The 16,245-nt window shown below is 43.2% G+C and overlaps 2 annotated features.

The window, feature by feature from the left end:
- Positions 1,900-2,755: an enhancer, noted in NCBI's record as "NANOG-H3K27ac-H3K4me1 hESC enhancer chr7:99543294-99544149 (GRCh37/hg19 assembly coordinates)". NCBI's record gives its function as "activates a minimal SCP1, AML or CMV promoter by ChIP-STARR-seq in naive H9 embryonic stem cells {active_cell/tissue: H9 hESC(naive)}" and the evidence as "EXISTENCE:reporter gene assay evidence [ECO:0000049][PMID:30033119]".
- Positions 3,613-4,468: an enhancer, noted in NCBI's record as "OCT4-NANOG-H3K27ac-H3K4me1 hESC enhancer chr7:99541581-99542436 (GRCh37/hg19 assembly coordinates)". NCBI's record gives its function as "activates a minimal SCP1, AML or CMV promoter by ChIP-STARR-seq in naive and primed H9 embryonic stem cells {active_cell/tissue: H9 hESC(naive and primed)}" and the evidence as "EXISTENCE:reporter gene assay evidence [ECO:0000049][PMID:30033119]".

The following is a 16,245-nucleotide window of genomic DNA, read 5'->3' as shown; positions in this document are numbered from 1 at the left end:
CTCTATTTACCAAGCAAGTTCTAAATGCTGAACATTGTCTTTGGCAAAGGGGTTTCAGGGAAGATCAAGAGGCACATCTTCCCTGCCCTCAGGAAACTCATATAGGCTGGTTTTGCTACACTGAATTCTCACAACTCATTGATGCAATGCAGCCTAGAATTAAGTTACTTGCTCATTGTCAAGCAGGTAGTGACTAGCAGAGCCACCATCCTGATTCTTTCTTAGTTTCTTTTTTTTTTTTTTGAGTTAGGGTCTCGCTCTGTCACTCAGGCTGGAGTGCAGTGGTGCCATCATAGCTCACTGCAGTCTCACTCCTGGGCTCAAGCGATCTTCCTGCCTCAGCCTCCTAAGCAGCAGGGACTGCAGGTGCACACCACCATGCCCAGCTAATTTTTAAATTTTTGTAGAGGTGGGAATCTTGCTCTTTTGCCCAGTCCGGTCTGGAACTCCTGGCCTCAAGCATCCTCCTGCCTTGGCTTCTCAAAGCACTGGAATTACAAGCATGAGCCACCATGTCCAGCCCTAAGTCTGATACCTTCTAAGAGGGATCATCCTCAGATGAGTTGGGTGTGGAGGTGAGAGGTCAGGGGTGCCTGGATAAGAAGTGACTCTGCTATCACTTCCTGTGTGAGCTGAGGCCTGGAGAGAAGATGAGAGAATGATGGGGAAGGAGGAAGCAGATGTGTTGTGGGGTTGGGAAATGGGGAAATGTCTGTGCATTTCTACTTTTACCTTTGATCTCTCCTTCAGGGCTTTGATATTTTCTTCCTGCTAATCCTCCTTTTCACACCTGCTTGGGGCTGCCCCATGAGCTTGTGAAAACAGCATGTTTCTACCTTCCAACCACAGTCCTCAGTGCATTGGCCCTCTCTCTCCTTGGCAGAGTCTACGATGTTTTTCAAGGTTACCATGAAGATTTCTTTCTTTTTTATTTAATTTTAATTTTATTTTTTTTTGAGATGGAGTTTCGCTCTTGTTGCTCAGGCTGGAGTGCAATGGCACGATCTCAGCTCACTGCAACCTCTGCCTCCCGGGTTCAAGCGATTCTCCTGCTTCAGCCTCCCAAGTAGCTGGGATTACAGGCATGTGCCACCATACCTGGCTAATTTTGTGTTTTTAGTACAGACAAGGTTTTTCCATGTTGGTCAGGCTGGTCTTGAACTCCTGACCTCAGGTAAGCCACCTGCCTTGGCCTCCCAAAGTGCTGGGATTACAGGCAGGAGCCACTGTGCTTGGCTTTATTTTATTTTTTAAGTTCCTGGGTACAAGTGTAGGATGTACAGGTTTGTTACATAGGTAAACGTGTGCCATGGTGGTTTGCTGCACGTATCAACCCATCACCTAGGTGTTAAACCCTGCATGCATTAGCTCTTTTTCCTAATGCTCTCCCCTAACCTACATCCTCCCCTGACAGGACCCAGTGTGTGTTGTTCCCCTCCCTGTGTCCATGTGTTCTCATTGTTCAGCTCCCAGTTATAAGTGAGAACATGCAGTGTTTGGTTTTCTATTCCTGCGTTAGTTTGCTGGGGATAATGGTTTTCCAGCTTCATCCATGTCCCTGCAAAGGACATGATCTCATTATTTTTTATGACTGCATAGTATTCCATGGTGTATATGTAGCATATTTTCTTTATTCAGTCTATCATCGATGAGCACTTGGGTTGATTCCATGTCTTTGCTATTGTGAATAGTGCTGCAATGAACATATATGTGCATGTATCTTTATAATAGAATTATTTATATTCCTTTGAGGTATATACCCAGTAATGGAATTGCTGGGTCAAATGGAATTTCTGGTTCTAAATCTTTGAGGAATCGCCACACTGTCTTCCACAATGGTTGAATTAATTCACATTCCCACAAGATTTCTTTCCTGACTTTCTGAACTTGGATCTTCTCCTATCCTCCATCCCCACCACCTGGCTCCAGGATCCCAGAGACTCAGCCTTCCTGCATTCAAAACCATAGTGGAAGAAGGCCTGATTGCTGGGGTGGGCAGTGGCCTGAAACCTGGGGAGGACTTCACTGGGCCTAAACATTCTGGTGTAGAGAAAGTCACTAAGTAAGGACTTGTGAAAATGTAGAGGACTTTGCGGTGGGGGTGAACTGCAGAGTCCTACTGTGGGGCAGCAAGAAGTCAAGAAGGAGGACCTGGCAACTGGGGTCAAGAGCTGCCCACATGCTCTTCATGTCCAGCCTTTTTTCTCCTGTCAGCTTTCTAGTGTTGCATGCTCATATGGGCAGAAAGACTTGCCATTATATGCTAGAAAGCACATGGTGGAGGCTGGGCGCGGTGGCTCACTCCTGTAATCCCAGCACTTCAGGAGGCTGAGGTGGGTGGATCACCTGAGGTCAGGAGTTTGAGACCAGCCTGGCCAACATGGTGAAACCCCATCTCTACTAAAATACAAAAAATTAGCTGGGCGTGGTGGCAGGCACCTGTAATCCCAGCTACTCGGGAGGCTGAGGCGGGAGAATCACTTGAACCTGGGAGGCAGAGGTTGCAGTGAGCTGAGATGGCACCACTGCACTCCAGCCTGGGTGACAGAGCTAGACTCTGTCTCCAAAATAAAAAAAAAAAAAAGAAAGAAAGAAAGTACAGGAAGGAGAATTTATTAGAAAATTCAGGCAGCCTGGGCAACATAGTGAGACCACGGCGCTACAAAAGAATACAAAAAAAAAAAAAAAAAAAAAGGCTGGGCGCAGTGGCTCAAGCCTGTAATCCCAGCACTGTGGGAGGCTGAGGAGGGTGGATCATGAGGTCAGGAGATCGAGACCATCCTGGCTAACACAGTGAAACCCCATCTCTACTAAAAATACAAAAAAAAAATTAGCTAGGCATGGTGGTGGGCGCCTGTAGTCCTAGCTACTCGGGAGGCTGAGGCAGGAGAATGACGTCAACCTGGGAGCGGAGCTTGCAGTGAGCTGAGATCACGCCACTGGACTCCAGCCTGGGTGACAGAGCTAGACTCCGTCTCAAAACAAACAAACAAACAAAAAAAAACCACACAAAAAAACAAAAAAAATTAGCCAAGCATGGTGGTGTACACCTGTTGTCCCAGCTACTCAGGAGGCTGAGGTGGGAGGATCACTTGAGCCTGGAGGTTGAGGTTGCAGTGACCTAAGATCGTGCTACTGCACTCCAGCCTGGATGATAAAGTGAGACCCTGTTTCACAAAGAAAAAGAAAAAGAGTTAAAAAAATCCAGGCATGAACAGGAAGGGATGAGCATGGAATAAAACCAGGATGCTGCCTCCGTACCACCAGTTCTTTGATTTCAACTTGTTGCTCAGTTGAATCATTGCCATACTGGTGAGAAAGAAATGTATTTGCTGACTGTTGGTCAATATTACAGATTTAAAACCTGTGCACTCTTAAGACCTCACCAGTTTATAGTTTTGTTTCTTCCAGATTTCTGCGGAAAGATGGGCCCAAGGCTGGCTTTGCTCCCTTTTCTCTAGGTCACACAGTATCCTAGGCCCTGTGCTGTTATATTTGACTCTGTGGAAGATGCTTTGTTTTCAGTTCTGAGCCTTTTCTTCTGCTGATTCCTTCTCAACCTTTGTTCCTTGTGTCGCTCACCCTCCCCCAAACCAGGTAGATGCACCCAGGTGTGGAAAAGAGGGAGGGAGAAGAAAGATCCCTTCTGTCATTGATACAGGAGCTAGAAAAAAATTATTTAGGCAGATAGTGAGGGTAAGAGAGTCCGTGGTAAGATTTCCCTTTAATGAAAAGCAGCCCCCAAATAATTTCTTTTCTAACAATAAGCAGCCTGAAAAATTAAGCTGCAAGCATAGATAAGCAAGCTAAAAGCTTGCATAGGTAAATGCCAACAGCTGTGCCAATAGAAAAGGGACACCTGGAAGCCAGGTATATTCAACATGGAGGTGCCCTCTTCCCTTTCCTTTGTCAACACGCTTGCAGTAAAAAAGCAGGCAACGTGGTGATGGCCAAGTAGAGACCCCATCTGCATAATAAAAGGTTAAGGTGAGATGGCCAACTTGTTGGTGCGCTATGCAAATGGCACACCTGGTCTGACTAATCTCTCGGGCCCTATGTAAATCAGACACTGCCTCCTCAAGCTTGTCTATAAAACCCCCCCCCCGTGCATTTCACCACAAAACCGGAAGACCCACTCGGAAGTCCCTCTCTCTCTGCAGGAGAGAGAGCTTTTCTTTTTTCTCTTTCTTTTGCCTATTAAACCTCCAATCTTAAACTCCTCCTTGTGCGTCTCCACCTTCTTGATTTCCTTGGCGTGAGGCAATGAATCTTGGGTATTACTCCAGACAAATGACGCCACTTCATCATCGTTCTTGGGGCACAGAGGTGCTGAGCTTCCACATTTCTCTTCGCTCCCTACTCTTGGGTGAGCCCTTCACCCTGGGTACCCTGTTGCCCCAGGCCTTGGCACGTGTTGTCAACGTATGGCTGTGGGAGGAGGCTGGTCTTGTCTGGTGGGAAGGAGAGAGACAAAGAGGGCATTGTTGATAGAAGAAGTGGAATGAGAGCTCCCTTTACCCTTGGGGGCTTCTTTTCTGGCATTAATCCTCAGAAAATAATTGTGAAAGAGAAGTTTGTCTTTGTGCTTTAGGGTGCTGTCAGAAGCTTAGAAATAATTAGGCAGAATCCCCATCCCCCCAATCCCCATCACCAACTTTAGTCTCCTCCCCCGATACCCACACTGACCCAGGGTTAGGGACATTTATAAATGGAGCCATTGAGGACTCAGGAGAAACTCATGCAACTGAAAAATGTCCCCTATTTCCTGGGTCCTAGGCAGCTCCCCACTTTCCACTCCCACTTCAGACATTTAGACAAGGACTTTGGTCACTCTGGCTAGACCATCTGTGTAACCCAGAATGGTGGGGTCACAACTCTTGGTTTCCAAGGATATAATCACATGTTGTGAGCAAAAATGTGCTGAACACACCTGACTCTGTGGCTTCTTCTTGAGAAGTGATTTTGCAGAGCGGGGAAGGGTCGACTCTGGAAACGTTTCATTTGTCTATTGGCCATTTGGATTTCTTCTGTGAAGTGCCTTTTCATGACTATCATCTATATTCTCTTAAGTTTGTCCTTGTTATTGATTTGTAGTTCTTTATATATCCCTGATAACAAGGCTTGCTTTTTCATGCTCTTTATATATATTTTTAAAAGCAGCTTTAGCAAAGTGTAACATACAAAAATCTGCACATAAAATGTAAAATGTGATGTTTTGACATATATATATATGCACTGAAACCATCCCTATTAATTCCATTGTGATCAAAGACATATATTGTATCACTTAAATCCTTTTACATGTATCCAGGCTTATTTTATGGTGTAGAACATGATCTATCTTGGTAGATGTTCTGTGTGCTCTTGACAAGAATGTATTGTTGCGTAGAATGTTCTATTGTCAATTTTGTTGATTAGGTCAATTTGGCTTATAGTATTGTTCAAGCCTTCTATTTGTTTACTGATTTTCTGTCTACTTGTCCTATCAATTTTTGAGAGATGGGTGTTGGCTCCTTAACTATTTTGTGAATTTGTCTATTTCTCCATGTATTTCTATTAATTTTTGCTGTACGTATTTTGAAGCTCTGTTATTACGTGTGTAAACATTTAGGATTTGATAAATGGACTCATTTGTAACAATCAAATATCTTCTTTATCTCTGGTAATATTTTTTGCTCTGAAATCTACTTTGATATTAATATAGTCACTGTAGGTTACTTTTGATTAGTGTCAGCATGGTATATTTTCCATTATTTTACTTTTAACCTTGTACCTTTATAATTAAAGTGAGTTATCTTTGGGCAGCATACTGTTAGGTCTTGCTTTGTAAGTTAATATGTTAATCTCTGCCTATAAATTGGAATGGTTAGATCATTTATATTTAATGTGATGATTTGTATGGTTAGGTTTAAACCTCTCATGTTGCTATTTGTTTTCTATTTGTGCCATTTGTTTGATCTGTTCCCCCTTTCCTCTTTTTCTACCTTCTGTTGGATTGAGCATATATTTATATATAATTTTATTTTTACCTCCATGTTTGTATTATTAACTATAACCCTTTTTGGGTTATTTTAGGCTTATGGTTTATATCTTCATGTTATTAGTCTACTTCAATTGATATTATAGCACTCTTCACACATTGTAAGAACCTTACAGTATACTCCCATTTCTTCCCTCCTGGCTTTTATATAATTGTTACCATATATCTTACCTCAATATATGCTATAAACCCCATAATACATTGTTATCTTTTCGCTTTAAGTGAAAGATTATCTTTGTCTTTATCTTTAGAGATAAAGTGGGGAAGGGTTGACTCTGGAAACGTTTCATTTGTCCATTGGCCATTTGGATTTCTTCTGTGAAGTGCCTTTTCACGACTATCATCTATATTCTCTTAAGTTTGTCCTTGTTAATTATCTTTATCAATTATCTTTAAAACGATTTAAATAATAACAAAAATAATCTTTATATTTACCCTCATAGTTACCACTTCTGGTGTTCTTTATTCTCTAACGTAGATCCAGGTTTCTATCTGGTTTCAAATTCTTCTAGCTCAAAGGACTTCCTTTACCATTTATCATGGTGCATATATGTTTTTTCATTCACTCTGGAGATGAATTCTTCCAACTGTTATATATCTTAAAAAGTTTTAATTTTTGCCTCAGCTTTTGAAAAAAAATATTTTTGAGATAGGGTCTCCCTCTGTCACCCAGGCTGGAGTGCAGTGATGTGATCATAGCTTACTGCAACCTCCACCTCCCAGGCTCAAGCTGTCCTCCCACCTCAGCCTCCCAAGTAGCTGGACTACAGGCGTGTGCCACCACACCTGGATAATTTTTGTATTTTTTTGTTTGTAGAGACGGGGTTTCACCATGTTGCCCAGGCTGGTCTTGAATTCCCAAGCTTAAGCAATCTGCCCACTTCAGCCTCCCAAAGTGCTAAGATTACAGGTGTAAGCCACCGTACCTGGCCTGAAAAATATTTTTGCTGGGTATATAATTCTACATTGGCAATTTATTCCTTTGATTACTTTAAACATGTTTTTCCACTGTCTTCTAGCTTATATTGTTTCCAACAAGAAAGCTACTGTCATTCTTATCTACTGTTGGTGCCCTGTCTAGATGTCCTTTTCTGGGCTGGCATGCCCACTCACAGGCTGTTGTTAATGGTGGCTATTATTGGCTCATGAACTCTCTCCTTTTCTAAATAGATGGCTTGGCCGGGCATGGTGGCTCACGCCTGTAATCGCAGCACTTTGGGAGGCCAAGGCAGGCGGATCACGAGGTCAGGAGATCGAGACCATCCTGACTAACACGGTGAAACTCTGTCTCTACTAAAAAGACAAACAACTAGCCGGGCATGGTGGCAGGCGCCTGTAGTCCCAGCTACTCGGGAGGCTGAGGCAGGAGAATGGCGTGAACCCGGGAGGCGGAGCTTGCAGTGAGCCGAGATCATGCCACTGCACTCCAGCCTAGGTGACAGAGTGAGACTCCATCTCAAACAAAAAAAATAAAAATAAAAAAAAGAGATGGCTTCACCCGGGATAATATGATTTCTTCCTCTCCCCGATGGCATCCCAATGCCAATGACTGAATGTTATTGGAGTACAAAAGAACAGCCCTTTTACCTCAAGTGGATAAAATCTGTGGTATGATTTATGCTTCAGGGTCCCCTGTGGACAAGATCAAGTTCAAACCTTACCTGAGATCACATTTGGCACAGTTTTTTTTTTTTTTACATTACCTTTTCTGCTTCCTCTATTTCCTTAGAGATTTTTACTGGTGAGTCCAACCTAAAAAATCACATGTATTCAAGTCTCTTTTAAGTTCTGCTTCTAAGGAATCAAACCTAAGACAGTGGGTACCAGGAGCGGTCCTAGGAAGCACAACATAAGAATGGGATTCTAGGGCTGGGTTACTTGTCAGCCCTCTGGCAAGGGGGACAGCCATGTTGATGGCAGGCATAGTTTCTGACTTGCTTTAGCAGTGCAAGTGTTAAGACTTTTACTCGGAATAACTAGGCTAGGACACAGGTGGAATTAGATTCACTGGCTGATGTAATGTGTCTGGCATTTAAGAGATATAAGACAAATTGCAAGTATAAGGGCTATGGAGCCAGGTGTGGTGGCTCACGCCTGTAATCTTAGCACTTTGGGAGGCTGAGGCAGGTGGATCATCTGAGGTCAGGAGTTCAAGACCAGCCTGGCCAACATGGTGAAACCCCATCTCTACTAAAAAGTCAAAAATTAGCCAGGCATGGTGGTGGGCACCTGGAATCCCAGCTACTCGGGAGGCTGGGGCAGGAGAATCACTTGGCGGAGGTTGCAGTGAACTGAGATCACGCCATTGCACTCCAGCCTGGGTGACAAGAGTGAGACTCTGTCTCAAAAATAAAATAAAACAAAACAAAATAAAATAAAATAAAGGACTATGGAATTAGGTGGCTATTACTGAGCTTCAGTGATGCCTTAAAGAGAAAAAAATGAAAGGCTCAGGACAATAAGTAATCAATTTAAAGCAAAATATAAGAGTTACAATGCCTTCTTGGCAACATTTAAAGAGACCCTTATCTCTCGTTGCCTGAAGGCAGAGAGACCAGGCTGAATATTTAACTTTAAGAGTGGCATAACTACAGAGAAGTTCAAATTTTTCAGCCTAGGGAAGTTTCTAGTACCAAAACCAGGACCTCAATAGGAAAGAATAAGACCCTGAGACATGGGATGGTGATATTAGATAGATGCCCTTTGAGGTCCTTGGATCATCAGATTATTCTGGACCATTTGGACCTGCAGAAGTGGCTCACACTTTTTATTGGAAGATAGAGGCCCACTCTTGCTTGAAAACCTTGCAAAAGTCTTACACTAGACAAATTCATTGTAAGGAAATGCTGGCTCCCCTCAGGATGTGTTGCACCTCCCCCTTTGGCCACTAGACCCATAACAAAAATCAAATCTTAGCATGGCCCAACTGGGGAAGTACTTGACTTACTAAGGAGAGGGATGGATTAGATACTAAAGGAGCTTCAAGACTTGGACAACATGTGTCATCAGGAGCAAGGAAAATAAATCAGAGAGAAGATTCTGAAGATCCTGGATCAAAGGGAGGGGACTAAAAATAGAAAGCTGGATGTAGGAGTTTGTCAATATAGGGCATTCTTATGGGACACAGGATTTAACACCCTAGCAAGTTTATTCTTAGGAGGTTGATATGAAATGATACTGGGGTGGCTTTTGGAAAGCTGGAAAACAACAAGAGCTTCTATTAATAAAGTTGAGATGTCAGAACTCATATGGAAAATTGTGAGTAAAGGGTTCACAGTTCTCAGAGAAATGGATGTGGGAGAATAGATCTATAACAAAAGATTGGAAAATCCACCACCAGACTCTATTCCTTGGGAAGTCCTGGATAATACTCATTTTCACCAAAGAAATAATGAATGTGCTGGTGATGAGGAGTTTAGAAGCTGTAAGAATCTCAGTAGTGTTCATCCTCTGTAGACGGAGGCTGACAGCAGATGCCCTTATATACTGGATATACTGGTTCCCTAATAGCAATAGGAATGATAGGATTCTGAATCAGCAGAAGCTATTTGGCAGCACTTAATAATCAGAAGCAAAGTAGTTATTATTATTATAATAATCAGGAAGGTTGAAATTATGGCCAAAGGGCCTTGACCTTCAGGGATCTGTGGAGATGGCTAATAGAAAATAGTGTTTCCATGGAGAAAATATACGGTTGCAAATGCATCACATTTGCTATCAACAAACTCCAAGTAGGATAAACTCAAAGACATCCATACTTAGGTACATGATGATCAAACTGTCAAAAGTCAAAGACCAGATAAAACAACAACAACTTAAGAGAGAATCTTGAAAGTAGCAAGAGAAAAGCAACTCATTAAGGACAAAGGATCCTCAATAAGTTTAACAGCTGATATCTCCTCAAAACCATGGAGGCCAGAAGACACTGGAACGATATACTCAAAATGCAGAAAGAAAAGGGCTGTCAGTCAAGGATTCTACAACCAGCAAAAGTATCCTTCAAAAATGAAGGAGGAATTGAGACAATTCTAGATAATAAAAACTGAGAGAATTTATTATTAGCATAACTGCCCTACAGAAAATACTAAGAGAAGTCCTACAGACTGAAATGAAAGAATGCTAGTAAGAGATCATATGAAGAAATAAAGAACAGTTGCAAAGGTAATGACATAGGTAAACATAAAAGACATATACAAAACTGAAAGCTTTCCTCCTAGAAGAAGGAACAAGAGAAGGATGTGTGATCTTATCACACCTATTCAACAACACCTCTAGCTAGTACTGGCGGTTCTATTTAGGGCAATTAGGCAAGAAAAAAAGACATCTAGATTAGAAAGGAAGAAATAAAACTTTGTTTGAAAATGACATAATCTTGTGTAGAGAAAATCCTAAGGAACCCACAACAGCTTACTATAATTAATAAATTAGTTCAGCCACATCACAGTATACAAGATGAGTATATTAAAATCAATTCTATTTCTATACACTAGCAATAAACAATACAAAAAGGAGAATGAGAAAACAATTCAATTTACAATAGCATAAAGAAGAACAAAATACTTAGAAATAAATGTAATCAAGGAAGTGCCAGGCTTCTACACAGAAAACTTCAAGACATTGTTGAAAGAAATTAAAGAAAACATAAATAATATATATTCCATGCTTATGGATTAGAAGATTTAATGTTGTTAACATGGTGGTGCTCTCAAATTGATAAAAAAATTCATTGCAATCCTTATAAAAATTCCAGTTTCCTTTTTTGAAGAAATAGACAAACAGATCCTAAAATTCAAACAGAATTACAAAAGACCCAAAGTAGATAAAAAATATTGAAAAAGAAGAACAATATACATAAACATAAATTCAATCAGTGGAATAGAATTGAAAGCTGGGAAGCAAATTCTTAAATTTATGGCCAATTTATTTTTGATAAGAGTGTCAAGACAATTCAGTCGGGAAAGAACAGTCATTTCAACAAATTGTGCTGGGACAACTGGATATGCATATGCAAAAGAATGAGATTACCTCACAACATACACAGAAATTAACTCAAGGCTGGGCATGGTGGCTCACACTTGTAATCCCAGCACTTTGGGAGGTCAAGGTGGGCAGATCGCTTGAGGCCAGGAGTTCTAGACAAGCCTGGGCAATGTGGAGAAACCCTGTCTCTACAAAAACTACAAAACTTAGCTGGGCATGATGGTGCACACCTGTAGTCTCAGCTGTTTGGGGGGCTGAGGTGGGAGGATCACTTGAGCCTGGGAAATTGAAGCTGCAGTGAGCCGTGTTCATACCACTGCTCTACAGCTGGGTGACAAAGTGAGACCCTGTCTCAAAAAAAAAAAAAATCCATCATTTATTAAGCACTGAATAATGTTAGTCAAACAGGATGTTAAACTGGAAATTTTGATTGGGATTTCGAGATGCAATGTTTGGGAAATACAACACATATCATATTCCAAAGTGATTTGCTGGTCTGAGATGCAGCAATTCAAAGGAAAAGCAAATAAATAAATAAATAAATAAATAAATAAATAAAGGTTAAGCTACTCTTAAAATCTACACCCACATCAAAGTTGTATAAAATGGCAGAGTTGTTGGAAATTACAGGGAGAGAGAATTAACTTTGGAGAGAAGATATCTTTGTTTTTTTTTTTTAAATTTATTTTCTTTTTTTAGGCTAGTTGAGTGAAGCAGTGGGAGTAGAGAAGGAACAAAGACATTTGTAACTGGTTGTGATAAATTGTTTGAAAACAGCACTGCACTTTGACCAGCCAAGAGAGAAGATCTTTTTGGAGAGAGGTGTGCTGTGAGTTCTTCTCCCCAAGAGCAAGGGCTAAGGGTGCTGCCCTTGGAATCTTAAGACCATCAGCAGATGAATGGAAGACGTTGGAATTGGCCTGCATGCCCAGGTTATAAAGTGTGATATGGCCGGGCGCAGTGGCTCAGCCTGTAATCCCAGCAATTTGGGACGCTGAGGCGGGTAGGTCACTTGAGGCCAAGAGTTTGAGACCAGCCTGGCCAACATGGTGAAACCCCATCTCTACTAAAAATATAAGAATTAGCCGGGCATGGTGGCATGTGCCTATAGTCCCAGCTACTCGGGAGGCTGAGGCAGGAGAATCACTTGAACCTGGGAGGTGGAGGTTGCAGTGAGCTGAGATTGCGCCACTGCACTCCAGCTTGGGTGACAGAGTGAGATTCCATCTCAAAAAAAAAAAAAATAGTGTGATATGATCACTTTACACAAAACTAGTCTGTGACAAGTGGATAAAAATAGTATTTCATCACTATTTTACTATTTCTTTGATTCCTACCTGGACTAAACATTTACAGGCTTTGAATAACCTTTTCTATGAATGGTCTTTTCATGTCTTTGCTAAGTTTACGTACCGGTGCACTTAGAATTATCTTATAATTTGTATAAGCTCTCAATATAATTTTAGTAAGATGCTTTTTTGATATGCTATTTTGTGCTATTTTTTTCCTTTGCTTTAGAGAGAGGTGCCAAGAAAATTTCTCTTTGGACCTTAGTTTCTCTTAGGATGCTCTGCAGGCTGCTCCATTCTGGGAATCATAGGAAGGTTGCAAGGCTTCCCAGAGGCACTTAGGATAGTCCCCTTTCAGTCAAGAAGCTTCACTGGCTGGAGAATGTTCTCAAGACCCCCTCCTTGAATCCATGGAGAGCACCAGAGAATTAGGACATCTTAGCTGCTGCAGGGACCACAGTCCTGCAGAGCCAATTGCTGGCAGCAGATATTTTGGACAAGAAGGTACTAGAGTCCTGGAGAGAGTCTGAGGAAAGGAAGGCCATCTGGGAATAGGATTTTGGGTGGTGGACGTCTGTTTCAGTCCTGGGTTATGAGGATGTTTTGCACCCAGGAAGTGGTTGTTCTCATGAATAGAAAGGACTATTGTGACTGAGCCTCATGCCTTAGTGAGGGGCAGTATCTGGAACCGAGGTGACATGGTTTGGCTGTGTCCCCACCCGAATCTCATCATGAATTTCCACATGTTGTGGGAGGGACCTGGTAGGAAGTAATTGAATCATGGGGGCAGGTCTTTCCTGTGCTGTTCTCGTGATAGTGAATAAGTCTCAGGAGATCTGATGTTTTCATAGGTTTTTTTTTCTGCACAAGCTCTCTCTTGGCCTGCTGCCATCCATGTGAGATATGACTTGCTCCTCCTTGCCTTCACCATGATTGTGAGGCTTCCTCAGCCACGTGGAACTGTAAGTTCACTGAACATCTTTCTTTTGTAAATTGCCCAGTTTCAGGTATGTCTTCATTAGCAGCGTGAAAATGGACTAATACATGAGGTTGCCTCTGGCATCTCCTCTGTGAAGAGTCCAGCATTGACCCTGAGCACTGTCACTTCGAACACAGGAGACCAGTCCCTCTCTGCACACTCCCTCAGCCCTGTGAGTTACTCTCCTCACTTTGCTGCTTCCCATTCTTGGCGGTATCTCTGGAGAGACTCCTGGCTCTAGCAGTGGGGCTAGGAATGGCCATGGGGACAGGCGTCACAGTTCTCCCTGGGCCTGACGGAGAGGGGTCTGGGTTCTCTGGATTCCTGAAGGGACGTGGAGCAGATTCCCATCATGCTGTGGCGGGGAGTCTGTGCTATTCTCCCAGCCAAGAGGAGAGGACATCCCGAAATCACCACAAATTCTGGGATGAAGGCTGTCTGAGGAAATGAAGCAAACACACACAAACACACAAAGACATACAAATACACACTCACACTTATACATACGTGCACACACACATTCTTCTGTGGGTAAGCTTGTGCTTCAGCTACTTTGGGCAGGAGAGCAGGGGGGTTTTATTCTACCTGTCATTGCCTTCATGCCCCAGTGCTGGAAACACACTGAAGCCATTGCTCCCCCTTCAGATGATCTGAAAATCCCTGTTTCAGTTCACTTTGAAAACACCCCTCACTCTCAACAACAGAGGGTTGGTTATTCTGCAGAACTCATTCTTTAACAGCAGGCCTGCTGCTGCTCCAGCTGCAATTCTTTTCCCCTTCATGAAGGCTGCCAGGAATGAAAAGGGGAGGGAAAAGAAGTAGGTGGTGGCAGGAGGCTGGGCCAGGGAAGTGTGGGACCCCACAGGCTCCAGCCTGAGGACTCCTCTCTCGGCCTCTCTCCCCTGTTGTGAATGCTTCTGCTGAAAGCCACTGGGTGAGTGCAGGGACAGAGAGCCACTGAGCTGGCTCAGGGCCTCGTGGTGGTGGTGGTGGTGGTAGGGGGGCTGCTCTGGGTTCTCGAGAGGCTTCTCCAACTCTGACATGATCATACCTGAGGATATTATCGAAATTCAGATATGACTTAGGAGGCCTGGGATACGGCCCGAGATTCTGCATGCCTGGTGATGCCAGTGTTGCTGCTCTGTTGCCACACTGGATAAAAGCATCTAGAAGGTATTCCAGGCCAGATGGGGTGGGCATTCCCTCCCTCATACCTTAACTCTTTGACATGGATTCTGCCACCAACAGAATCCTGGACGTTTTCTCCCAAGAGATGATAAGAAAAATTCACACCAAAATCATGATGGAATTTCAAAATCTGTTTGGATATTAGAAAATTTCTCCAAACCCTGGCCTTTCCTTCCTCTCCCAACTCTTGAGCTCACAGGTGTTGCTTCACTGACTAAAATCCTGACAGAGCTCCAATTCTACTACCTCCCAGACAACTTTATTTGCAAGCTGTTTCTCTACTCAGAAACAGGGGTGTCCCTTCAGCCGAGCTTTTCCAACAATGCTGAGCTGGGGGCTTTGGTACATCTCCCCCTCCTTCTCAGCCTCAGCTCTCTAGGTCCTGAAGTTTGACCTGGGGGCCCTGTCCACCGTGGGGCAAAGCTGCAGACTTGTTGATGAGAGGAGGATGTGGGTCTTAGGGAAAGAGAAAGGTGAGCTGGGGACAGCTGGACCAGATTGGAGAGACCACAGGGTCCCTGAAAAGCAGGGGGTAAGGGGGTAGGAGGCTATCATATAGGGAGGTCCCTTTGGTATGCAGACTTTGGGACAGAAAGCACAGTTTTGTCTGAACCCTCCAGAAGGCCCTGAAAGCATGGGACATAAGCATTGTGTTGGCGATAACAGCTGCAGGTGAAGGCAGGTGAATGACAAGGAAGGGTGCTTAGGGTTAGATATGAGAGCTCCAAACCAAGGGGCCCTGGGCAGGTCCTTTTGTTCTACTGTTGCCCCTCTCTCCTTTCCAAAACCCCAAAGCTCTGTGGTGAGCTCTGGAGACCTCAGCTTTGTTCTGAGAGCCTCTGAGAGGATTTAGGTGTCTCTTCATGGGCCTGGGGTGGGAATGGGAGAGACAGAAAGAAAGGGGACACTAGGTACGGCCTCTGGAAATGATTTGAATCCCTGACCCTTGAAATATGTCAGACCCACCCTGTGTGAAATTCCACGTCTGCTGGAAATGTGACGGAAATGTGTTTAGAGGGTGCTGGACCTGCACTTCGAAATAAAACAAGGCTGACAGCAAGACTTGAGAATTTACCTAATGATCATCTAGTCTGATAACTCTCAAGAGAGGAAGGACAGAAACCCTCAGAGCCCTGGGGATGCTTCCCATAAATCCAGGGACACCCCCCCTAGACTTACAAGATGGGGCAGGGCTGCAGGTATCCTCACAGATGGGGCTGGTTGAGGGAGGATGCGTGACCAACCTAGATGAACTCAAACTCTGACTCTTAATGGCTCAAAATATAGTGTCTTGCAGTTGGTGAATGATGACATATTTCTCTGGTCAATTGAGACCCTTAGAATTGTCCCTGGGACTCATCTCAACCCATCCTTCTGACTGAGACCACAGGGGAAGTCCAAATTACAGGGAAGATAATTTGGGGAACAAATCCTTGAAGAAGCAGGAAAGATGAGACCCAAGGACACAGATTTGGAAGGCAGAGTAAACTTGGATAACTGTAGGTCCACTTCTTTCTCTACAATGTTAGAAAAGGAAGTAAATATTAAGATAAGAGAAAGTAGTATCTGTGGGGTTTCACATCAGTGTCTCTATTTTCTCTTTGGAGTAAGAGGTTTTCGTGGTGTCTTAGTCTGTTTGGGCTACTATAACAAAATACCTTAGAGAGGGTAATTCATAAATAAGAGATATTTATTTCTCAAAGTTCTGGAGGCTGAGAAGTCCACGATCCAGGCACCAGCAGATTCAGTGTCTGGCAAGGGCTTGTTCC

The sequence above is a fragment of the Homo sapiens genome, chromosome 7 (genome assembly GCF_000001405.40).
Source record: "Homo sapiens chromosome 7, GRCh38.p14 Primary Assembly".
Classification (NCBI taxonomy): domain Eukaryota; kingdom Metazoa; phylum Chordata; class Mammalia; order Primates; family Hominidae; genus Homo; species Homo sapiens.
The sequence above is the reverse complement of the archived record's forward strand: the minus strand, read 5'-3'. Positions and strand labels throughout refer to the sequence as shown.